Source organism: Homo sapiens, chromosome 1, assembly GCF_000001405.40.
Source record: "Homo sapiens chromosome 1, GRCh38.p14 Primary Assembly".
NCBI lineage: Eukaryota > Metazoa > Chordata > Mammalia > Primates > Hominidae > Homo > Homo sapiens.
In genome coordinates, this window is record NC_000001.11 from 212,848,690 (window position 1) to 212,873,761 (window position 25,072).

Here is a 25,072-nt window from a genome sequence, read left to right on the forward strand (position 1 = left end):
CTGAACTCAGGTGATCCTCTCACCTCTGCCTCCTGAGTAGCTGGGACTACAGGCGTGGACCACCACAACTGGCTAATTTTTAAATTTCTCATAGAGACGGGGTTTTGCCATGTTGCCCAAGCTACATGGAAAGTTATTTTATTCATATATTTCTTTTCTAAGAAGAGGAGGTCTCCAGTTTTTTTTTTTTTTAAATCTTCAGGTCACTCTGGAATGTTTCCAATGTGGAGGAAGGGGCCCAGCAAAACTAACTAACTCACTCACTACATGGAGAAGCAACTCAAGAAACAAGCTGACTCAAGAAATTAGAGATCATTCATAGTGCCATTGTTGCCTTCAAAGGTGGGCAGTGCATTTTTTAAAAACACATTTATTTATTTTATTTTTTTGGTGGCAAGGTCTTGCTCTGTTGCCCAGGCTAGAGTGCAGTGGCATGATCTTGGCTCATTGCAACCCCCGCCTCCAGGGCTCAAGCCATCCTCCCACCTCAGCCTCCCAAGTAGCTGGAAGAATAGGTTTGTGTCACCAGGCCCGGCTAATTTTTGTATTTTTTGTAAAGACAAGGTCTCGCTATGTTACCCAGGCTTGTCTCGAATTCCTGAGCTCAAGCCATCCTCCTGCTCGGTCTCCCAAAGTGCTGGGATTACAGGCCTGAGCCACCGCTCCCAGCCAACACATTTATTTACTTTTAGAAAATACAGTTTAATCCATCTTGAATTGATTTTTGTATAAGGTGTAAGGAAGGGATCCAGTTTCAGCTTTCTACATATGGCTAGCCAGTTTTCCCAGCACCATTTATTAAATAGGGAATCCTTTCCCCATTGCTTGTTTTTCTCAGGTTTGTCAAAGATCAGATAGTTGTAGGTATGCGGCGTTATTTCTGAGGGCTCTGTTCTGTTCCATTGATCTATATCTCTGTTTTGGTACCAGTACCATGCTGTTTTGGTTACTGTAGCCTTGTAGTATAGTTTGAAGTCAGGTAGTGTGATGCCTCCAGCTTTGTTCTTTTGGCTTAGGATTGACTTGGCGATGCGGGCTCTTTTTTGGTTCCATATGAACTTTAAAGTAGTTTTTTCCAATTCTGTGAAGAAAGTCATTGGTAGCTTGATGGGGATGGCATTGAATCTGTAAATTACCTTGGGCAGTATGGCCATTTTCACGATATTGATTCTTCCTACCCATGAGCATGGAATGTTCTTCCATTTGTTTGTATCCTCTTTTATTTCCTTGAGCAGTGGTTTGTAGTTCTCCTTGAAGAGGTCCTTCACATCCCTTGTAAGTTGGATTCCTAGGTATTTTATTCTCTTTGAAGCAATTGTGAATGGGAGTTCACTCATGATTTGGCTCTCTGTTTGTCTGTTGTTGGTGTATAAGAATGCTTGTGATTTTTGTACATTGATTTTGTATCCTGAGACTTTGCTGAAGTTGCTTATCAGCTTAAGGAGATTTTGGGCTGAGACAATGGGGTTTTCTAGATAAACAATCATGTCATCTGCAAACAGGGACAATTTGACTTCCTCTTTTCCTAATTGAATACCTTTTATTTCCTTCTCCTGCCTGATTGCCCTGGCCAGAACTTCCAACACTATGTTGAATAGGAGTGGTGAGAGAGGGCATCCCTGTCTTGTGCCAGTTTTCAAAGGGAATGCTTCCAGTTTTTGCCCGTTCAGTATGATATTGGCTGTGGGTTTGTCATAGATAGCTCTTATTATTTTGAAATATGTCCCATCAATACCTAATTTATTGAGAGTTTTTAGCATGAAGGGTTGTTGAATTTTGTCAAAGGCTTTTTCTGCATCTATTGAGATAATCATGTGGTTTTTGTCTTTGGCTCTGTTTATATGCTGGATTACATTTATTGATTTGCGTATATTGAACCAGCCTTGCATCCCAGGGATGAAGCCCACTTGATCATGGTGGATAAGCTTTTTGATGTGCTGCTGGATTCGGTTTGCCAGTATTTTATTGAGGATTTTTGCATCAATGTTCATCAAGGATATTGGTCTAAAATTCTCTTTTTTGGTTGTGTCTCTGCCCGGCTTTGGTATCAGAATGATGCTGGCCTCATAAAATGAGTTAGGGAGGATTCCCTCTTTTTCTATTGATTGGAATAGTTTCAGAAGGAATGGTACCAGTTCCTCCTTGTACCTCTGGTAGAATTCGGCTGTGAATCCATCTGGTCCTGGACTCTTTTTGGTTGGTAAACTATTGATTATTGCCACAATTTCAGCTCCTGTTATTGGTCTATTCAGAGATTCAACTTCTTCCTGGTTTAGTCTTGGGAGAGTGTATGTGTCGAGGAATTTATCCATTTCTTCTAGATTTTCTAGTTTATTTGTGTAGAGGTGTTTGTAGTATTCTCTGATGGTAGTTTGTATTTCTGTGGGAACGGTGGTGATATCCCCTTTATCATTTTTTATCGTGTCTATTTGATTCTTCTCTCTTTTTTTCTTTATTAGTCTTGCTAGCGGTCTATCAATTTTGTTGATCCTTTCAGAAAACCAGCTCCTGGATTCATTGATTTTTTGAAGGGTTTTTTGTGTCTCTATTTCCTTCAGTTCTGCTCTGATTTTAGTTATTTCTTGCCTTCTGCTAGCTTTTCAATGTGTTTGCTCTTGCTTTTCTAGTTCTTTTAATTGTGATGTTAGGGTGTCAATTTTGGATCTTTCCTGCTTTCTCTTGTGGGCATTTAGTGCTATAAATTTCCCTCTACACACTGCTTTGAATGCGTCCCAGAGATTCTGGTATGTTGTGTCTTTGTCCTTTGTAGGGACATGGATGAAACTGGAAACCATCATTCTCAGTAAACTATCGCAAGAACAAAAAACCAAACACCGCATATTCTCACTCATAGGTGGGAATTGAACAATGAGATCACATGGACACAGGAAGGGGAATATCACACTCTGGGGACTGTGGTGGGGTGGGGGGAGGGGGGAGGGATAGCATTGGGAGATATAACTAATGCTAGATGACGAGTTAGTGGGTGCAGCGCACCAGCATGGCACATGTATACATATGTAACTAACCTGCACAATGTGCACATGTACCCTAAAACTTAAAGTATAATAAAAAAAAAAAAGAAAAGTAAAAATTGGAGTAAAAAAAAAAAAAAAAAAAAAAAAGAAGATACCTGTGAGTGAGACCTCTCCCTTCCAAATCGCCATTCGAATATTAATATAGTAAAATATTAGTGCCATTCAGATAGTATTAGGGAGGGTATGGAGTTTATTTCAGGACCAATTGGGAATATCAAGTAGTATAAAACCATTCAGATCTGGGAAAACCAACTTTATTTTAGTGTAAGACATCTGCCAATTTTATGTATTTTGTCATCCTTTTTAATACTGTCTTTGAATGATTTTTTTGGTATGAAAATAAATTTTTAAAGTGAAATAAAAAAAAGAAAATACAGTTTAGTTCAACATAGTTTATGTATATCTGCTTTCACTACATCTTAAGAGATTCAGAAAGTTCTTGTTAATAATAAGGCCCAGCATGGAACTAGGGTGTACTTTGCATTTGTATAACCCAGGTGGAAGAGCATATGTAGGCTAAAGAAACAAACAAAAAACCGATAAAAGAACAATAGGGCCTAGCCAGGGTGAAGGTACCTTAAGGCAACAAGAGAGGGAGGAAGGGGCTTCCGAGAAGGAGGGAAGAAAAAAAACTTCAGAAATAAGTGTTAGAGGGCTGTTGCAGTGGCTCACTAATCCCAGCACTTTGGGAGGGTGAGGTGGACAGATCACTTGAAGTCAGGAGTTCAAGACCAGCCTGGCCAACATGGCGAAACCCCATCTCTACAAAAAACACAAAAATTTGCCGGGCATGGTTGCATGCGCCTGTAATCCCAGCTATTTGGGAGGCTGAAGTGGGAGGTTGAATCTGTTTAGTAAATTGGGGGCTTAGAATATTTCATTTTTGGTTTACAGGGGCTTGAGTTCTCCTTGTGGCCTGTCTCCATATGGCATTTCCTCTAGCTACAGTTTTCAGGAGCTATTTGGTCTCTCAACTCTAAGCATACAAAACCCTTAAGACTCCTCTGTAGTAGATGCTCTGAACAAGCCAGGGCTGGGAAGGAGGTCTATTTATTTTTTGACTCAATTCTTTCATCAGAGTTTCAGTAAGTGAGTTACAAATTAGTGAATCAAGAGGAAACATGTGAAGCAGTTGCACAGTTTTTTCAGAGTAAATCTGGAAATGAAGATATTAGTTGCTACAGGTGGGAGGGGTGAGCAGAGGCAGATTTACCATGAAGTTAATATGAGGGTCTCTGAAGGCTTGTATCTCTCTCTCTCTCTTTTTTTTTTTTGACAAGGCCTCACTCTGTTGCCTAGGCTGGAGTGGCGTGATCTCAGCCCATTGCAGCCTTGACCTCCTGGGCTCAAGCGATCTTCCCACCTCAGCCTCTCAGGTAGCTGGGACTACAGGCATGCACCAGGCCCAGCTAAATACTGTATTTTTTTGGTAGAGAAGGGGTTTCGCCATGTTACCCAGGCTGGTCTTGAACCCAGGCTCGCCATTGCACTCCAGACTGGGCAACAAGAGCGAGACTCCATCTCAAAAAATAAATAAAAAAATAAATAAAAAGATCTAGAAAAGTGACAGAATAATTTGTTCCCATCTCACCAGTTTGGTTTCGCTGTACTGATGACCTCAACTGGCATCATGGACCGAGAAGAAACAAGACAAAAACACAGGAGAAAAAATCCTGGGACTCTTTTTTTTTTTTTTTTTTCAGGAATAAATATATACAAATAAAATGTCTCAATGGAGGGAAGAATACATGTGGGAGGATTCTGATTTCCAACCTTCTCCTCTACTCCTCCATTTCCAACTTGATCTTTTCACAAAATAGAACCATATAGCCTCTGCTGATCAGGTGGACAGAGCCTGATGCTAGTAGGAGTAAACTGAAGGCAAGGTTGCCCAAATCTACCCACCTCCCCATGAAACATCATGGATTGCACATCCAATAGCATTGTTCTGGTTTGCATCTTAACCTCTGAGGCTCGTAAACTGTGGCAAACCTTTGTTCAGGGACAGCTACATCACTCCTATTAGCATCTTGGACCTTGGCTCCTGGATGCTGTCCAGATCTCATATTGCTGAAGTGTTACTTATTCAAATCTCTCTGACTTGGCATTCCACACCCATAAAGTAGCTCAATCTCATCTTGACTCCCAGCCAAACGATGCTCCCAGTAGTATCTTTTTTGACAGAGATTAAGGTTCATTTTACGTTATACATCCAAACATTTGATATAAATAATGACTCATGTTTAAACTGGTTAATAAATATCTACCACTGAAGCCAGAGAAAGAAGACAAGATTAAGAAATTAGAATGGTGGCCGGGCACGGTGGCTCATGCCTGTAACCCCAGCACTTTGGGAGGCTGAGGTAGGTGGATCACCTGAGGTCAGGAGTTCGAGACCAGCCTGACCGACATGGAGAAACCCTGTCTCTACTAAAAATACAAAAATTACCCGGGTGTGGGCACCTGTAATCTCAGTTACTTGGGAGGCTGAGGCAGGAGAATCACTTGAACCCGGGAGGCAGAAGTTGCAGTCAGCTGAGATTTCATCATTGCACTCCAGCCTGGACTCCAAGGGCAAAGCTCTGTGTCAAAAAAAGAAAAAGGAAAAGAGAAAGAAATAGATTTCACTCCCTCCTTCCCTTCCTTCTGGAAGTTTGCAAGACTTTTTTTGTTTTTGTTTTTGTTTTTGTTTTTTTCTGAGACGGAGTCTCGCTCTATCGCCCAGGCTGGAGTGCAGTGGCGCGATCTCGGCTCACTGCAAGCTCCACCTCCTGGGTTTACGCTATTCTCCTGCCTCAGCCTCTCGAGTAGCTGGGACTACAGGCGCCCACCACCATGCCCGGCTAATATTTTGTATTTTTAGTAGAGATGGGCTTCACCGTGTTAGCCAGGATGGTCTTGATCTCCTGACCTCGTGATCCACCCGCCTCGGCCTCCTAAAGTGCTGGGATTACAGGCGTAAGCCACTGCACCTGGCCAAGATTTTTTTTTTTTAAGAAACAGATTTCACGTGGTGGTGGGCGCCTTAATCCCAGCTACTTGAGAGGCTGAGGAGGGAGAATCGCTTGAACCCCGGAAACAGAGGTTGCAGTGAGCCGAGATCGCATCACTGCACTCCAGCCTGGGTGACAAGAGCGAAACTCCGTCTCAAAAAAAAAAAAAAAATAATAATAATAATTTAAAAAAAGATTTCCTTCCTTCTCTCCTCCCTCCTTTTTTCCTTCCTTCCTTTCTTTTTCTCTCTTTCTTTCTTTCTCTCTCTCTTCTTTCTTTGTCTCTTTCCTTTCTTTTCTTTCTAATTTGGCACACAAACACTTTATTTAAATGCATATCTCAATTCCTGTGCGGCTGGCAAATAAAATAAAGGAGCAGATCATGGCACAGCATTCTCATGGACCAAGTGGTCGAACCCAACATCCAAGACCCAGTGAGCAGCCAAGCTCAGTGCAACCTCCAGGCCTCTCGCTCTGACTCCAACAGGGTGAGCACATAGCCCTTGCGCATGGGGTCTTTTACACTGTGGATGATGGAGTGGCTTGTGTCTTCCATAAATTCCCGCATGCACTGTCCCTGAGAGCTGGTTCTGCCCAGGACCTTGGTGACCCTGGCTAGCTAGATAGGCTGCACATGGCTGGTGTCTGTGATGGCGATGCAGCAGCAGTTGGGCAGAGAGAAGAAATAGATTTCTTTACAAAGCAAGTAATTATTTAAAATATTCACGGTAATTCAGTATTCATTAGCTGTACTCAGTAAATATTTATTGAACAGCTACTATGTGCTAGGTACTCGCACAAAGTACACTGGTTACAAATTCTTGAAAAATAGTAGCGGTAGCAAAAAGCAACAAAACTTTCAGCCCTGCCCTTATGGAACTCACATTCTAGTGGGCAGGGAGAAAATAACCAGAAAAAGGCCCAGCACAATGGCTCATGCCTGTAATCCTAGCACTTTGGGAGGCCGAAGTGAGCTGATCAGTTGAGACCAGTCTGAGCAATGTGGCAAAACCCCATCTCTACAAAAAATACAAAAAGTACTCAGGCTTGGTGGTCAGCCGAGAGAGAGAGAGAGAAGGAAAGAAAGAGAGAGAGAAAGAAAGAAAAGAAAGAAAGAGGCCAGGCTCGGTGGCTCAGGCCTGTAATCCCAGCACTTTGCGAGGCTGAGGCGGGCGGATCACGAGGTCAGGAGTTCAAGACCAGCCTGGCCAATATGGTGAAACCCTGTCTCCACTAAAGAAAAATACAAAAATTAGCCAGGCATGATGGCGCGGGCCTGTAGTTCCAGTTACTCGGGAGGCTGAGGCAGAAGAATCGCTTGAACCTGGGAGGTGGAGGTTGCAGTGAGCCGAGATCGCGCCACTGCACTCCAGCCTGGGTGACAGAGCAAGACTGTCAAAAAAAAAAAGAAAGAAAGAAAATAACCAGAAAAAAAAAGTAAAAATATAGGACATTTTAGGTGAAGGTAAGCACTAGGAAAGAAAGAAAAAAAAAAGCAGGGAAGGGATGTTGGCCGGGGCGGGCGGAGGGGGGGATTTATACAGTTTGGCCAAGGAAGACATTATAATAATGCACTTATTCCTTAGTTTAGAACATGTAGCATTTCACCTGTACCGAGAGATGCCTGATATATTTCATACATGACCAAAATAATAATGTAAGAGGCAATAAAAAAGTGCAGGGTTTTAGGGTTCTAGATATCAGCACATTTTAAGATTAAATGCATGGTAAGAACTTTTGTACTATATACACCTAGTTTGAACTTAAATTTAATAACAAACTCTTTGGAGTCTCTCTCTCTCTCTTTTTTTTTTTTTCCCAAACATAGCTTCCCAAGGAGCAGAAGGGCTGAATTTTCTCTAGTTCCAGGAAGACCGCAAGGCTACTGTGCTCTGGATGTCTCGTTTTTATTTTTTTATTTTTTTATTCTCCAGATCTCAAGACGGTGTCTGGCACATACCATTCAATACAAGTTTGGTACCTGGAACCCACTGAATATGCATGTCCAGTAACTATTAACTACATGTGTTGGTGCAAGGGAGAAGGTCGAGCAACCGGATCTGCTCCATCATAGCCCGTCTCAGTCGCTTCATTCAAGTCAGCGGGGTGAGGTTGAGGGGATTCCAACTTCACAAGGGCAGATTTCTCATGGACTCTCTTTCTCTGGTTGTACTGGAACACTTTCTGGCGTTATTCCTCTGCTGGGACAGCATGAACTTATGAAACGTGGTCCTGTCTGCCCTAAAGCCAGGGTCTCACCGACAAGGACAGCGATGCTGGGGCGAGAAATAAAGTTCGTCCTGGGCCTGCGTACGGTACAGCGCCCTTGGGAAGCCCTTGTGGAGTTAAGGGTGATGCCCACTTCTTTGTCTCCCTCATTCTGTTTCGGTGGCTCTCTCGTTCCCAGTTCCAAGCTGCCCACTTGTTAGAGGAGCCACTGCTTACCAGGCATCTGGTTTAATAAAACATGGCTAGAGCGACTGCATGTTAAAGTGAGTAACTAGGCACTCACAAGGCACCTATAAGGTTAATGCTAAAGGTCTGAAAATAGCCGCATTCTAAGCTGACCAACAATTATAATTACACAATATTTATGGCCATACAGGACATCTCCCACCAAGTCTGCGGAATTGTCCAGATGTCCTGAGTTTTTTTTTTTTTTTTAGACAAGGTCTCACTTTGTCGCCCAGGCTAGGCTGGAGGGCAGTGTGGTGCGATCTCAGCTCACTGCAACCTCCGCCTCCCAGGTTCAAGTAGTTCTCCTGCCTCAGCCTCCTGAGTAGCTGGGACTACAGGCATGCACCACCACGCCTGGCTACTGGCTTTTTTTTTTTTTTTTTTTTTTTTAAATAGATGGCATCTCAGTATGTTGCCCAGGCTGGTCTCGAACTCCTGGGCTCAAGGGAGACTCCTGTCCGGCCTCCCACAGTGCTGGGATTACAGACGTGGCCACCGAGCCCGGCCCAGCCCTCTACTCAGAGATAACGTCAATGCGCAGGCTTAGGTTGAAGGATTAATGGTCATTAGTGCACCAACAGCCCCTACCTTTAGTGGGCACATCAGCACATTCCACGATTAATCACAGCTCCTCACAGCTGCCTCTAAGTAGTGACACTACCGAAGGACGGGAGTTCCTCCTCCTGCAGTCTGAGGACTTGCACTCTCTAACGGAGTAGATTCCAATAAACTTGCTTCCTTCACTGCGCTCTGTGACTCGCCTCCAATTCTTCCCTGAAGTAGACCCAAGAACCCTCTCTTGGGGTCTGGATCGAGACCCCTTTTTCCAGCAACACAACCCGCGGGGCCGCCTCCCGCCCACCCTCAGGTGCAGGAGACCCCGGGCCATGCATCCTTCCGGGCAGGAAAATGTCAGCCAGCGCTCGCCGGCCGCTTTCCTCCCCCGCCTCCCGAAGTTCTCGCCCGGTAGCTCCCCGACTGGCTCTCGCGCCGGACAAAGGCGCACGCTGATTGGCCGGAGGGCCGTAGTCATGCAGGACGCGCGACTCTAGGGGCGGGACCAGACAAGGGGTGACTGCCGCGCGGCGCGGGGGAGGAGACCTTCATCTGTTCACGCGGTAGCGCGGATTGCGGTTCGCGGCGCGCGCCACCGGGGAAGGAGCGGTGGGCCGAGGGGTTGGAGGTGGGGCCCCAGGAGGACCTCGGGCTGTGGGCCGGGAGAGCGGAGTCGGGGAGTGGGGCGGGGGAGCGAGGTGGCGCCGGGGAGCCTGGGATATGGCGCGGCCAGACGATGAGGAGGGGGCGGCGGTGGCGCCCGGACACCCGCTCGCGAAAGGATACCTCCCGTTGCCGAGGGGCGCGCCCGTTGGGAAGGAGAGCGTGGAGCTGCAGAACGGGCCCAAAGCGGGCACCTTCCCGGTGAATGGGGCCCCCCGGGACAGCCTCGCTGCCGCCTCGGGAGTTCTGGGCGGGCCTCAGACTCCACTGGCCCCAGAAGAGGAGACCCAGGCCCGGCTGCTGCCTGCGGGCGCGGGAGCTGAGACCCCGGGGGCCGAGAGCAGCCCGCTGCCCCTTACGGCGCTCTCCCCGCGGCGCTTCGTGGTGCTCCTGATCTTCAGCCTGTACTCGCTGGTCAACGCCTTTCAGTGGATCCAGTACAGCATCATTAGCAACGTCTTCGAGGGCTTCTACGGTGTCACCTTGCTGCACATCGACTGGCTGTCCATGGTGTACATGCTGGCCTACGTGCCCCTCATCTTCCCGGCCACCTGGCTGCTGGACACCAGAGGCCTGCGGCTCACCGCCCTGCTGGGCTCCGGCCTCAACTGCCTGGGTGCCTGGATCAAGTGCGGCAGTGTGCAGCAGCATCTCTTCTGGGTCACCATGTTGGGCCAGTGCTTGTGCTCGGTGGCCCAGGTGTTCATCCTGGGCTTGCCCTCCCGCATCGCCTCAGTGTGGTTTGGGCCCAAAGAGGTGTCCACAGCTTGTGCCACCGCCGTGCTGGGCAATCAGGTAAGTACTGGAGTGGTAGGTGAAAGTCAGATCCTTAAAAGACCGGAAAAAGTCATAGGCCGTGAGAACTATGGCCTGTATGGATGAACTGCCCCAGGAGGTATTTGTCTATAAAAGAGGAGATGAAGCCGTTGAATAGGAGGCCGTCTTGGATTGAAGTGGGCTATAAATTTCTTTGTAAGGACAAAATTTTCCAAACGACCTTGTCATCTTGCTTTGAAAATTACCTATAAAATAATTAACTGGGCCGGGCGCGGTGGCACACACCTGTAATCCCAGCACTTTGGGAGGCCGAGGTGGGTGGATCACTTCAAGTCAGGAGTTCCAGACCAGCCTGGGCAACATGGGGAAACCCCGTCTCTGTTAAAAATACAGAAATTAGCCAGGCCTGCTTGCGGGTATCTGTAGTCCCAGCAACTCAGGAGGCTGAGGCAGGAGAATCTCTTGAACCCGGGAGGTGGAGGTTGCAGTGAGCGGAGATTGCACCTTTGCACTCCAGCTTGGGTGACAGAGTGAGACTCTGTCTCAAATAATAATAATAAACTGTAACCATAATAATAATAATAATAATTAACTGTATTGGCTTGTGTATGCCTAACATGGAAAATTTGTCAATGCAGTAACGAACAAGACTTGGGGTATTATTTTTGTCACCAGTGTATTTGTGAAAGGAAGGTATTGGGTTCTGGGAAGATTGTTTCCATTTTGAGAGGTCATTGTGAACAGCTCCCTTTTAATTTCATATATTAGCAGTCAGCACAGTTCCTGGCACATAAGGGACACATAAATGACTGCTAACCAAAAGTTCTGGGCTGGGCGTGGTGGCTCACGCCTGTAATCTCAGCACTTTGGGAGGCTGAGGCAGGCGGATCACTTGAGGCCAGGAGTCTGAGACCAGCCTGGCCAACATGGCAAAACCAAATACACAAAAATTAGTGGGGCATGGTGTGGTGCATGCCTGTAATTCCAGCTACTCAGGTGGCCAAGGCATGAGAATCTACATGCTTATTGCTTTATAGTCATTTCCCTTATCTAAAAGTACAGAAGATGGAGTAGGTTGAACTATAGTTGTTTGTCCAAAATAATTTATGACTGATACTTGAGTTGGTTGCATCTGCAGGTTTGGACAGAAGCTATTATAAAGTTTTTTGTGTGTGTGGTTTTTTTTTTTTTTTTTTGTAGAAATGGGGTTTCTCCATGTTGCTCATGCTTGTCTCGAACTGCTGAGCTCAAGCTCTCTGCCCACCTCTGCCTCCCGAAGTGCTGGGATTACAGGTGTGAACCACCACGCCCGGCCATGATTACATTTTCTTTGTCACACATCTCTCAGTTTAAATTCATTTTTAAATATTCAGTAGCATTTCTTGATCCCATTTAGAGTTGCCCAGTCACTCTCTTTACATTATTTTACTTTAATTCTCCTTATAGCACTCATCCCTGTCTCATATGTTATTGTTTACATGTTCATATGTTACTTACCTATTACTTTTCTCTTATCCCCACCATTAGATTGTAAGTTTCATGAAAATAGGAATGTGGTCTGAATGTACACAGCTGTATCACCAGCATTTATTACTCTCCATAAAACCATGTTGAATAAATAAAGGAGCTTCAGACTCATACAGATACTGGCCAGCTGGATAGTCTACTTGGATATCTCATGGGAACACACCACTCAAAATTGCTTTCTCCTTGCTCATTTCCCTTTATCTCTAATGCCACTGTCTTGGTTTGGGCCACCCACAGCTCTCACCTAGAGCTTGCTAACTGTCCTCCCTATCTGTAGCCCTTGCTGTCTTCCCTCTGTTCTCGCATTCATCCAGCGTGGTCTTTTACAATGTGCAAATCTGTTCCGGGCACATCCTTACCCCCTGCAGTGGCTTCCATTGTCCTTAGGATAAAATTCAAACACTCTAGTGTGACATATGGGACCCTCCAGATCTGCCTCCTGCCAGCCCTTCCACTTTATCTGTATGCACAACCCCTGTCCCCACAGACATATGCTTTCTCTGCTCTGTGCAGAACTATGCCTACTTATAGTTTCTCACAAGGTCGTGCCCTTTCCCTCCTGGCCTTGTATGTAATGTCCTGTTGGCTTGGAATATTTCTTCACTTGACTAACTCCAATTTCTTATTCAGATCTTTGCTCCTCCAGGAACTTTTTCTGAACCCCATTTCTTTTCATTCTTTTTGATAGCTGAATAATATTTCTATATAAGGTGCTCCCCCAAAGTACTCTCTTAGCTACCATGATCATATGTCCCAGTTTGCTTGGGATAGTCCAGGTGGTACACCTGTTGTCTGGTATGATTACTAATGAAGTCCCTTTCATTCTGAAGAGTATTCTAGATGGATAGTAAATTACGTGGTCTCCCCAGTCTTGGCACTGTTTACGTCTCAATCACAGTACTGTATTACCACCCTCTCTTGTAATTACCAGTTATATTCTTTCTATCTAGCTTTTTGTTTTATTTTTATTTATTTATTTATTTATTTTGAGATGGAGTCTTGCTCTGTCCCCCAGGCTGGAGTGCAGTGGCGCGATCTTGGCTCACTGCAAGCTCTGCCTCCCGGGTTCATGCCATTCTCCTGCCTCAGCCTCCCGTGTAGCTGGGACTACAGGCACCCGCCTCCACACCCGGCTAATTTTTTGTATTTTTTAGTAGAGACTGGGTTTCACCATGTTAGCCAGGATGGTCTCGATCTCCTGACCTCGTGATCCCCCCACCTCGGCCTCCCAAAGTGCTGGGATTACAGGTGTGAGCCACCGCGCCTGGCCTCTATCTAGCTTTTTGTAAGGGAGCAAATGAAATATTTGATAAGTGTGACTATCTCTGCCTCAGACTCCTTTCTTGGGCCCTTCCTCCTCACGCCCTTCCTCCTAAAAATCTTCCTCCTAAAAACCTTCCTCCATTGAACCTCCTAATAGTTTGATTTTATTTCTTGTGATTATGATATTTAGCCATATTTTTTGTTGAGGTAAAATTCACATAAATAAAACTAACCATTTTAATGTGTACAATTCAGTGGCGTTTAGTACATTTACAGTGTTGTGCAACTGTTACTTCTGTCTAGTTTCAAAACATTTTTATCCACCCGCAAAGAAGGCCCAATACCTACTAAACAGTCACTTCCCCACCATTGCCCCCTCCCCTAGCCTGTGGCAAGTACTAGTTTCCCTTCTCTTTCTGTGGATTGACCTGTTCTGGATATTTCATATAAATGGAATCATACAGTAGGTGACCTTTTGTGTCTGGCTTCTTTCACTTAGCTTATTTGCAAAGTTCATCCATGTTGTAGCACTGTATCAGTACTTCATTCCTTTTTAATAGCTGAATAATATTTCATTGTATGAATATACCACATTTTGTTTATCCATTTATCTGTTGATAAATGTTTGGGTTATTTTCACCTTTTGGTTATTGTGGTAATGTGAATAGGGCTGCTGTGAACATTCATATGTAATTATTTGTTTGAATTTCTGTTTTCAGTTTTGGGGACATATACCTAGGAGTAGAATTGCTAGGTCATATGGTAATTCTATGTTAAACTTATTAAGGAACTGCCAAACTTGTCTGCAGTGGCTGCACCATTTTATAGTCCCACCAGCCGTATTCAAGGGTTCCAATTTTTCCACATTCTTGCCAACACTTTTATATTGCTATTATTGTTATTATAGTAGCCATGCTACCTGGTGTGGAGTGGTATCTTATGGTTTTGATTCGGGCATGTTTTCAAATGCTTATTGACCATTTGTATATCTTCTTTGGAGAAATGTCTATTCAAGTCTTTTGCCCATTTTAAAATTGGGATATTGCTTTTTTGTTGTTGAGCTGTAATAGTTCTTTATATATTCTGGAAGCTATACCCTGATCAGATATATAATTTACAAATTTTTCTGATTCTGTAGGTCATCTTTTGTCAGCCTTATTTTGCATATTCTTATTCCCCTTTTGTAAGCATCTGCAGGGCAAGGACTGTATATTACACAGCTTTATAATAGCAGCATCACTCAGATGGTAGGAACTCAGTAAATGTTTTTTGGATAGGAGAGATATTGGTGAGCAATTTCCCTTTAACAATACAATAGTAAAAAAGACATTAGAGCATAGTAGTTTAGGCTGGGTGCAGTGGCTCACGCCTGTAATCCCAGCACTTTGGGAGGCCGAGGCGGGCGGATCATGAGGTCAGGAGTTCGACACCAGCCTGACCAACATGGTGAAACCCCGTCTGTACTAAAATACAAAAATTAGCTGGGCGTTGTGGCGCGCGCCTGTAATCCCAGCTACTCAGGAGGCTGAGGCAGGAGAATTGCTTGAACCTGGGAGGGAGAGGTTGCAGTGAGCCAAGATTGCGTCACTGCACTCCAGCCTGGGAGACAGACTTTGTCTCAAAAAAAAAAAAAAGAACATAATAGTTTAATTTTCAAAGCACCTTTATAAACACTAGCTGTCCTCTTTATGTTCTGTTAATTGCCAGCATTTACTTTTTTCTCTAATGATAATAGCTGTTAACAGGACTATGTGTTTTTCAGCTTGGAACTGCAGTTGGCTTTTTGCTACCACCAGTTTTAGTACCCAACACACAGAATGACACAAATCTCCTGGCTTGTAATATCAGCACCATGTTTTATGGAACATCAGCTGTTGCCACACTTTTATTTATTTTAACAGCAATTGGTAAGTGAATTACTTTCCCTAAAGCTTAAATGAATGCATGATAGAAATTTGAGAATAACTAACTCTGGAAATTTTTGTTGATAATATCTCAAGTGTCATGTGCTTTGTTTCATTCTTCCATGCCCTGTCTTGCTCAGGTAATGAATGCTACAACCCTAGGGATGTTATGGCCCACTACATTTATTTTCACATTGTGAAGGGTTTGAAGACTAATTCATTTATCCCTCTACTAACTTTTCTTCTTGGTAACTGTTGGTTTCAAATATATTACCTGCCTCCTCTTCCCATATTCGCCTACATGGTCTGCATCTTATGCCTCTTATGCCTACCTAGCCAGGAACAAGTTCTTGCCATGCTTTGAAGTGATGCACGTAGGCTATGGTCTTTCTGGTAATGCTAAATTCTCCCAAGGCTTTCCAATTTAACAATTAACTGGATCTGAAAATGTTGACTAGTGAATGGTCCTGGGCAGCAGCAAGCTGTTCAGCAGAATTTCAAACTGTGGCAACTATCTACTTGTTAGGCCACTCCAGCAAAGCACGGCTGCCACCACTCGTCACTGAGTCCTCTCGTCTGAGCCTGTCTCTTGAAGCAGTCAGTCAAAATCAACTGCAAGCAGCCATCATCAGTTTGGAAGAAGCTTTGGGAAGGTCTGCTTTTTAAAGTTTATTTTTAATGGGAAACTTTTGATTTCAGGGAAAAGGATAGGTAAGGTTTATTTAAGTAATATAGCTGCTAGCATAACTATAATATTGCCCTTTAGGCACTCATCTGAAATTGATTTGAAGAGGAAAAGAACTAATAAAGTTGAAATGCCATCTTTTAATCATTCAAATTTATAATTTCATTATAGCTGGAGTTTTAAATTTATATACTAGTTTTTACAATGGCTATAATAGTAATGGAAAATTCATATTTTGTGATCTCCAGATATAAAATTCTTAGTTTTCAAAGAAATGTATGCTGAAGATTCTAGAGTGTTTGGGTAGAGACTGCCTTGGTAGATGAACTGCAGGATCCAGGTACAGGAAGCTCAGCCCACATACTTAATTTCCCTTAATATAATGAGCAGAATGTTCTCTTGGTAACATATGAAGTATTCAAACATGTGTAATCCACTTGTTGGTTTTGGTTTTCAGTTAGTTATGGAGTGGCATATTTGTGATGTGCAGACTACTAAGAAGGACACATTATTCCTATCCTATTTTAGCAGTTTAGCAAAGTTTTAAAAGAAATTTGTATTCTTAAAAAAAAAACACCAAAATTCTTTTTTTTTTTATTATAAGTTTTAGGGTACATGTGCACAACGTGCAGGTTTGTTACATATGTATACATGTGCCATGTTGGTGTGCTGCACCCATTAACTCGTCATTTACATTAGGTATATCTCCTAATGCTATCCCTCCCCCCACCCCCCATCCCACAATAGGTCCCGGTGTGTGATGTTCCCCTTCCAGTGTCCATGTGTTCTCATTGTTCAGTTCCCACCTATGAGTGAGAGCATGCGGTAAAAACACCACAATTCTTAAGTCTGCTTTTCTGGTAGCCATGTTTGATTTGCTAGATGAAATAGGAAATACATTTTGCATAAATGGACCTTCCATTTGCAATAGGGATTTTTTTTTTTTTTTGAGACAGAGTCTCGCTCTGTCACCCAGGCTGGAGTGCAGTGGCATGATCTCAGCTCACTGAAACCTCTACCTCCCAAGTTCAAGTGATTCTCCTGCCTCAGCCTCCCGAGCAGCTGGGCTTACAGGCATGCACCACCATGCCAGCTAATTTTTGTATTTTCAGTAGAGACAGGGTTTCACCATGTTGGTCAGGTTGGTCTCAAACTCCTGACCTCAAATGATCCACCTGCCTCAACCTCCCAAAGTGCTGGGATTATAGGCATGAGCCACCAGGCCCGGCCAGCAATAGGGATTTTTAAAGTATAGAATTCTCTCTCTTTTTTTTTTTTTATCAAGACGGAGTCTCGCTCTGTCACCCAGGCTGGAGGGCAGTGGCGCTATCTGGACTCACTGCAATCTCTGCCTCCTGGGTTCAAGCAGTTCTCGTGCCTCAGCCTCCCTCCCTGGGATTACAGGCATTTGGCTAATTTTTGGGGTTTGGTTTTTTTTTTTTTTTTTTTTTGAGACAGAGTCTTGCTCTGTCAGCCAGGCTGGAGTGCAGTGGCGCAATTTCGACTCACTGCAACCTCTGCCTCCCACATTCAAGGGATTCTTGTGCCTCAGCCTCCCAAGTAGCTGAGATTACAGGCGCGTGCCACCATGCCTGGCTAATTTTTGTATTTTTAGTAGAGACGGGGTTTCACCATGTTGGCCAGGCTGGTCTCGAACTTCTGACCTCAGGTGATCTGCCCGCCTTGGCCTCCCAAAGTGCTGGAATTACAGGCATGAGCCACCGAGCCCGGCCTTTTTTGTGTGTTTTTAGTAGAGATGGGGTTTCACCATGTTGGCCAGTCTGGTCTCGAACTCCTGACCTCAAATGATCTGCCTGCCTCGGCCTCCCAAAGGGCTGGGATTACTGGTGTGAGCCACTGCACCCGGCCAAAATTCTCTTTCTTTTGATTACTTTTGTGTCTTCACATAAATTCTGATTTTCCTTTTTTTTTTTTTTTAAATCCTCTTCAATTGCTTGTCTCAGAAAGAAGTGAGAAAGTAAGAGATTGCATGTAAGATATCACGAAATCATACATGTGATGTGTGTATGTTTAAACTGCTACAAATAAAAGATCTTTACTTGTTGAAGGAGGGAGACCAAGAATGATAATAATAGGTATGACTATTGGCATATTACCCTTTGTTATTTGAGAAATTAAAAGAGATCTGATTATGTACTTAACTAATTATGTACTCATGGCCTACAGGTAGAGAGTGGAAATAGAAATGAGGGGAAAATAATGGGAAATATGGCATTAAACAAAGGCTCTTTGTCAACTTTTGCTTGGAGGACTCTAATTTTAATTTTATGATCCCAAGCATATTATAAAAGCAAGATAGTATACAGCTGTGATATGAAAGTCTTAAGTTGAAAATTGTGACATTTAAATAGAACACATACTTGTTTTCCTCATTCCCAAATATTTGCTATTGAGCAAACTTTGGATTACTTAAAAAAATCCATACCAAATAAAGTTCCTTAATTACTAAAAGGTGATTTTACTTCTCTCTGAATTCTATCCATACTTACTTTGGAAGTCCCACCACGTCCTCATAAAATAATTTAATTTTGTTGAGATTTTTCCGCAACGTGACATGTACTAAATTGATACTCAGCAGTCTGCTTAAAATATTTTCTCAAAGGTTCATGCCATGTAACTGTTCCTCTCCCTCATGGAGCTTATATTGAGTATAATCCATCTAGTGTTTCCAGGAATTAACCCAAGCATTCCACTGAATTTCACACTAATACCCTATTCCTATTAGGAGAACTCTATTATAGCCTCAAACATTTGGTTTGTTGGTATGTGCCAAACATGTTTGGAGGCTTACTACATGCTGTATCTCATTTAATCCTCATGACTCTGTGAGGAGGGTACCAATATTCCCATTTTATAGACAAGGAAACTGAGGCACAGAATTTAGTTAAATCTAATTTGTCCAAGGTTATAGTAAACACTGAAGGTCAGATTTAAGCCTAGACAATTTAACTCCCTATATAAAAGTTACAGATAAAAAATAACATTTTAATTTTTACTGAGCCTTATTTTTTGTTCGAATTCAGATTCTTGCATAAGTGGTAATGCTGTTGTATTTAAAAGCTGTTCTTGTGCAGCAGAGCAGTAAACTATGTCATTTAACTCATGTGTCAATTAAAATACTTTCCTGATTCACTAAAATGAGTGGATGACAGAAGCCAAAAGTAATCACAATAAAAATATTTAATATTAATATGCTTAAACACATAAGCATATAATGTGTGCATAATTTTACTTTTTTTTTTTTTTTTTGAGATGGAGTCTCGCTCTTTCACCCAGGCAGGAGTACAGTGGCGCGATCTTGGCTCACTGCAAGCTCTGCCTCCCGGGTTCACACCATTCTCCTGCCTCAGCCTCCTGAGTAGCTGGGACTACAGGCACCCACCACCGCGCCCGGCTAATTTTTTGTATTTTTAGTAGAGATGGGGTTTCACCGTGTTAGCCAGGATGGTCTCGATCTCCTGACCTCATGATTCGCCCACCTCAGCCTCTCAAAGTGCTGGGATTACAGGTGTGATAATTTTACTTTTAATTCTTTTTTAAGAGATGGGGTCTCGCCCTGTCACCCAGGCTGGAGTGCAGTGGCACAATCTCAGCTCACTGCACCCTTGATCTCCTGGCCAGCCTTAAGCAATCTTCCTACCTCAGCCCTCTGAGTAGCTGGGACTACAGGTGTGTGCTATCATGCCTGGCTATTTTTTATATTTTTTGTAGACAGGGTTTCACCATGTTGCCCAGGCTGTTCCCAGCTTGCCTTGGGCTCCCAAAGTGCTGGGATTACAGGCATGAGCCACCATGCCCAGCTGCTTTTGATTCTTAATTCAAGATATCTATAAACTTTATTTTATTTTATTTTATTTTGAGACAGAGTTTAGCTCTTGTTGCCCAGGCTGGAGTGCAGTGACGCGATCTCCGCTCACCGCAACCTCTGCCTCCCGGATTCAAGCCATTCTGCTCAGCCTCCCGAGTAGCTGGAATTACAGGCGTGCACCACCACACCCGGCTAATTTTGTATTTTTAGTAGAGGCAGGGTTTCTCCATGTTGGTCAGGCTGGATTCAAACTCCTGACCTCAGGTGATCCGCTTGTCTCGGCCTCCCAAAGTGCTGGGATTATAGGCGTGAACCACCATGCCTGGCCCGGCTGCATACTCTTAACAGAAATACATTTAACTTAGTCTGTAAGAATTTCAAACTCCTGAGGCAGTCTCTGATTTTTTTAAATAAATATTCCTCAAAAAAAGACAATATTTTTGTGTTGCACTTGATAATTACAGAATTATTTTACATATATTGTATCATGTAATCTTCATAACAGCTTGCTATTGTTATTTACATTTTATCGATGAGAAAGCTGTAAAGGTGAGAGACAGGAGTTTACTTCCTCAAAGTCATACAGTGAGCTGAGGCAGAGCCAGGATTCAAACATTTATTTGTCTTATAATAACCTAATATATGTAATATATGCCTGAATCACACAGGGACAAATAACGAAATTTTAAAAATGTTAAAATACGGTTTTAAAATGTAAAAGTAGCCCTAAACAGCAATAGATTTGCAACGTATTCATCACAGGAGGAAAAGTTTGAATGTGGTGCTCGAGAATATTTTGGCTACTTTATAAGACTAACACCAGAAGTGGAGAATAACTGCTTCAAATAATCAGTTGTTTTATTGGTGCAAATTTTTGGTTGGGAGAAGACAATAGAAAGCTATTATTTTTCTGTTTCAAAGGAGAAAGAAGAAGCCATATTTCATCCTTTGAAAGTAGCAGTTAGGTGTAAACAAGGCCATAGATCCATGGCTTTTTGTTTCTCTTTCTTCAAGTAGACTTAAGTTCGACTTTCCTACAACATGTAGCTGGTAAATACAGGCTTGATTTTTGCCAAAAGATAGTTTGACTTCCTGAAACTAACAGATAACTCTTGTATTCAAAAAATAAATGTAATGGATTTAAAGACTGGTAAGAAGTATTTTCTTTTCTTTTCATTTTTGAGACACAGTTTCACTCTGTCGCCCAGGCTGGAGTGCGGTGGTGCGACCTTGGCTCACAGCAACCTCCGCCTCCTGGGTTCAAGTGATTCTCCTGCCTCAGCCTCCTAGCTGGGATTAAGGTGCCCACCACCCCTGGCTAATTTTTGTGTTTTTAGTAGAGACAAGTTTTTGCCATGTTGGCCAGGCTGGTCTCCAACTCTTGACCTCAGGTGAGTTGCCCGCCTCAGGCCTCCCAAAGTGTTGGGATTAGAGGCGTGAGCCTCTGCGCCCAGCCAGAAGTCAGAAATATTTTCATTTTTGCATTTCAGTTCAGATTTGGGCCATTTAGATTTATTTTGCCATGGTAAATAAAAAAGTAAGAGACTTAAGATTCATTAAATACCCATGACTACCTTGTAAGCATAGTTTTTATTTTCTGAAACTTTGTTTTATAACTATGTGAGTTCTGCATTACCAATCTTAGTAAGAAGAGATATTTCCTATCTGATTAGGATACAAAGAGACTCAGGAAAAGACAACAGACATCCTAACAGTACAAGATCAGATAGAATGAAAGGAAGAGGAGGATTTGCAACTTAAACCTTTTATGTGTACCAGCCTTCCAATGTAAGGATATTAAAAAGTAAATATTTATGAGTTATATCTCCTCTTTAATTAGTTGTAAGATCTGTAAAAAGAAAAGTATATTTTAGTTTGATAAGTTTTAGTTATATCACAGTTAATGTGTTGGTCAGCAATGAACTGTAATTTAAAAAATTTTTAGCAGCAAACAGGAAAATTAGAGAATTGTAGTATTTCATGGAAATTTTAAGGGTCATTTCTTACTTTCCCAGTGATTGTTTCTCCCTGGCTGGTTTTCAAAAGCATTTGGGGAGTTTCGTGTTTAAAACAGTTTCTTTGGCTTCATCCTGGAGTTTCTGATTCATTGAGCCTTGGGTAGAATCTCAAAATCTGTATTATTTTTAATTTCCAAATGATTCCAGTTGCTAGGTCCATCAGATCTAACCCTCTTTCAAACACAAAGCAGGTCTTCCTTGTTGGAAGAAAGAAATAGCCAATTAAAAAAAAATCCTAATTTCTATTAAAAAAAATTTTTTTTCTTGCTGTCTGGCTGAGAATGGCAGAAAAATCCTAATTTCTAAAAAAAATTCCTAAACAATATTATTTACTGAATCCATTTACCTTCTTTTTTCTTTCTGTTTCTTTTTGTTTGTTTTGTTTTTTGAGATAGTCTCACTCCGTTGCCCCGGCTGGAGTGCAGTAGCACAATCTCAGCTCACTGCAACCTCCACCTCCTGGGTTTGAGCAATTCCTGCCTCAGCCTCCTAAGTAGCTGTAACTACAGGCATGTGCCACCATTAATGCCTGGCTAATTTTTGTAATTTTTTGTAGAGACGGGGTTTCACCATGTTGGCCAGGCTGGTCTCGAACTCCTGACCTCACATGATCCACCTGCCTCGGCCTCCCAAAGTGCTGGGATTACAGGTGTGAGCCACTGTGCCGGGCTTCTTTTTTCTTTTTGAATTTACCCTGTTTCATCAATCTTGAGGTATACCTTTTTCATGAAATCTCTGAAATCAAGATGCCTTTAATAATCAGTGGCATCTAACATTTGTGGTAATTGAGATATGGTTATGTGAAAACCTTCTATTGATACCTGGCAAGATCATTGACTGCAAGTATTAGAGTATCTTAGATTCAATGAAGTACAGTATTTTCCTTCTATTGTAATTAACAATTTTGAGAGAGTTTAAAGTTTTGAGTCAATACAAAGTCTAGATTTTAATTTCTGCTGTACCATATTTTAGCAGTTCAGCCCTTCTGTAAATAGTTTTTTGTGTTTTTTGTTTGTTTTTTACAGACAAGGTCTTGCTTTATCACCTAGGCTAGAGTGTAGTGATATGATCCCAGCTCACTGCAGCCTGTATTCCTGGGCTCAGTGAAGCGATCCTGAAGCGATCCTCTCGCTTCAGCCTCGCAAGTAGCTAGGATTACAGGTGCATGCTGCCATGCATAGCTAGTTTAAACAATTTTTTTCTAGAGACAGTCTTGTACAAGTGATGGACCCACTTTGACCTCCCAAAGTGCTGAGATTACAAAAGTGAGCACCATGCCTGACCTGTGAATTAGTCTTGACTTCTGGTTAGCCTAACCCTAAAGAAATCTCTCTCTAGTCATCTTTTATGGAAAGTTGGTCGATCTTTCCTGCACAGCAAAAAGGTGGTCTCTAGATGTTGTCTGCCTGGGGTGGCTGTGAAATTTCTAACTAGAAATGGATAGCGCTAAAACTTAGAGTGTCAGACACCATATACCACCACACTTTTATGTCTCTTAGCTCTACCCCTGTACTTTCCATATGAAGCTCAAGTGAGTTAGCAAGACCTAGCTCTGCTTCCATGAATCTACCTGGAGTTTTTCAATCCCAGAGGTGCAGTTGGATCAGATGATAAACTTTATATCACATTTCAGAAGAAAATGGTTACTAACTCAAGTCTTTTAAAAGTTCAATAGTATATTGGCTTCCTCATATCTGATTTTTTATTTCTTTTATTTTCCTTTTTTTTTGTTTTGAGACAGGGTCCTGCTCTGTTGCCCAGGCTGGAGTGCAATGGCGCAGTCACAGCTCACTGCAGCCTTGACCTCCCAGGCTCAAGGGTTCTTCCCCCTTCAACCTCCCAAAGAGCTGGGATTACAGGCATGAGCCACTGTGCCCAGCCTTCATGTTTATCTCTAATTACAAATTGAACTGAATTTAAAAGTAGAATTGTTGAATATTTAATGTAGTAAAAATTAGTCTTTCTTAGGTAAAAATAGAATAATCAGTAGGCAAGGTTGTGGCATATTATTGATGGTTTTGCAGTTCACTTATATGAATTGGCCATATCTCTGAGTTTTAGTCAGTTTCAGAGAACTGAGATGACAGTGTTAAACTATTCTTCACTTAGAAATCAGTGAAAATGAAAACCCTTACCATAAAAGACTTATATACCTCTTTAAACTTAAACTGTATTCTGTCTGCTCACTAAGAATGATACATATAATTACATATTGTAATATATAACAACATATTGTATATATATTAAATATACATAATCCTTTTCGTGTATATTCTCAGCCTTCAAAGAAAAACCTCGGTATCCACCAAGTCAGGCTCAAGCAGCTCTTCAAGACAGTCCCCCTGAAGAGTACTCCTATAAGAAATCAATAAGAAACCTGTTTAAAAACATTCCTTTTGTCCTTCTGTTGATCACTTATGGTAAGTGGTTTTCTTGTACTTTCTTTAATGTCTGTGTGAGCCTTTCAGCATTGTGGATTCTTTTCATTTAACCTAGTGGTTTGAACTTCAATGAGATTGGCCTGTTAACTCTACAGCATAATCATGAACTTAAACTAAAAGCAGAAAATCCAGGATGGATCTTCTTACATATTTTTAAAAATAATAATTTTTAAAAGGTAGTTTTTGGCCAGGCATGATGGCTCATGCTGGTAATCCCAGCACTTGAGTTGGCCGAGGTATGTGGATCACTTGATGTCAGGAGTTGCATGTCAGGACTAGCATGGTGAACATGGTGAAACCCCATCTCTACTAAAAATACAAAAATCAGCTGGGCATGGTGGCACACGCCTGTAATCCCGGCTACTCAGGTGGCTGAGGCAGGAGAATCGCTTGAACCTAGAAGGCAGAGGTGGCAGTGAGCCAAGATTGCGCCACTGCACTCCAGCCTGGGCAATAGAGTGAGACTATCTCAAAAAAAAAATAAAAGAAAGAAAAGAAAAGTAGTTCTCAAATACAGAAACTCGGTCTTCTTTTGTGAGTTCTCATGGAGTATTTTAGGCCATTTGTGAACTATAGTTATCCTGATGTAAGCAGGTGGGAAATGCTATCAACAATACTTTTCTTTGACACTGTGCAAGCTGGCATCTGTTTTGATTACTCAGTCAAAAGTGGACATTAAGGAACTCACCTTAACCAGTTCTGACATCTAAGAAAATTCTCTCTCTCCACATCTTTCAGGATAGCTGACAGATATTCATCCTGACACTGTAGCTTTGACTGCAGACACCAACACACTTGGTTTTCTTCAGAGTTTTCTGACGGTTCATTCTTTGTTTCTTGTGTTAACACCATTTACATGAACACCAGCACTCCCTATTTCTGTCTTACTTGCCTCCAGAAATCACTCACTGCTATTCTCTGT

The 25,072-nt window shown here is 42.5% G+C and overlaps 1 protein-coding gene, 1 long non-coding RNA gene and 1 pseudogene across 10 annotated transcripts in view, besides 5 other annotated features; 1 reads left to right on the forward strand and 2 right to left on the reverse strand.

Annotated features, from left to right (window-relative positions):
• Nucleotides 3,299-3,886: an enhancer, noted in NCBI's record as "OCT4-NANOG hESC enhancer chr1:213025330-213025917 (GRCh37/hg19 assembly coordinates)". NCBI's record gives its function as "activates a minimal SCP1, AML or CMV promoter by ChIP-STARR-seq in naive H9 embryonic stem cells {active_cell/tissue: H9 hESC(naive)}" and the evidence as "EXISTENCE:reporter gene assay evidence [ECO:0000049][PMID:30033119]".
• On the reverse strand, nt 6,480-6,677 carry RPS28P2 (ribosomal protein S28 pseudogene 2; annotated as a pseudogene).
• On the reverse strand, nt 7,915-9,449 carry FLVCR1-DT (FLVCR1 divergent transcript). Of its 2 annotated transcripts, none has more exons than NR_027286.1 (2): nt 9,077-9,449; nt 7,915-8,229 (listed from the first exon to the last, which is right to left on the reverse strand). It is a non-coding gene; the product is annotated as an FLVCR1 divergent transcript (long non-coding RNA). The 2 variants fall into 2 exon arrangements; NR_027285.1 differs by having other exon boundaries at nt 7,915-8,483.
• FLVCR1 (FLVCR choline and heme transporter 1) overlaps nt 9,586-25,072 on the forward strand; it is a 41,089-nt gene continuing 25,602 nt past the window's right edge. For 3 of the 8 annotated variants that reach the window (XR_247024.4, XR_007059232.1, NM_014053.4), the window contains exons 1-3: nt 9,586-10,501; nt 15,036-15,180; nt 23,989-24,129. Coding sequence is in view for 3 of the 8 variants with exons in the window: in NM_014053.4 (NP_054772.1) it covers nt 9,764-10,501; nt 15,036-15,180; nt 23,989-24,129 (1,024 nt within the window). In the remaining 5 variants the exon portion in view is untranslated. Of the gene's footprint in view, nt 10,502-15,035; nt 15,181-15,703; nt 15,831-21,364; nt 21,496-23,988; nt 24,130-25,072 lie in introns of those variants that run through there. The other 5 variants (XM_011509447.3, XM_011509448.2, XR_426771.2 and 2 more) reach the window with 5 other exon arrangements.
• Nucleotides 9,687-9,746: a silencer, noted in NCBI's record as "silent region_1806". NCBI's record gives its function as "represses an Ori minimal core promoter by ATAC-STARR-seq in GM12878 lymphoblastoid cells {active_cell/tissue: GM12878}" and the evidence as "EXISTENCE:reporter gene assay evidence [ECO:0000049][PMID:35858748]".
• Nucleotides 9,827-10,036: a silencer, noted in NCBI's record as "silent region_1807". NCBI's record gives its function as "represses an Ori minimal core promoter by ATAC-STARR-seq in GM12878 lymphoblastoid cells {active_cell/tissue: GM12878}" and the evidence as "EXISTENCE:reporter gene assay evidence [ECO:0000049][PMID:35858748]".
• Nucleotides 14,254-14,755: an enhancer, noted in NCBI's record as "H3K4me1 hESC enhancer chr1:213036285-213036786 (GRCh37/hg19 assembly coordinates)". NCBI's record gives its function as "activates a minimal SCP1, AML or CMV promoter by ChIP-STARR-seq in primed H9 embryonic stem cells {active_cell/tissue: H9 hESC(primed)}" and the evidence as "EXISTENCE:reporter gene assay evidence [ECO:0000049][PMID:30033119]".
• Nucleotides 14,756-15,255: an enhancer, noted in NCBI's record as "H3K4me1 hESC enhancer chr1:213036787-213037286 (GRCh37/hg19 assembly coordinates)". NCBI's record gives its function as "activates a minimal SCP1, AML or CMV promoter by ChIP-STARR-seq in primed H9 embryonic stem cells {active_cell/tissue: H9 hESC(primed)}" and the evidence as "EXISTENCE:reporter gene assay evidence [ECO:0000049][PMID:30033119]".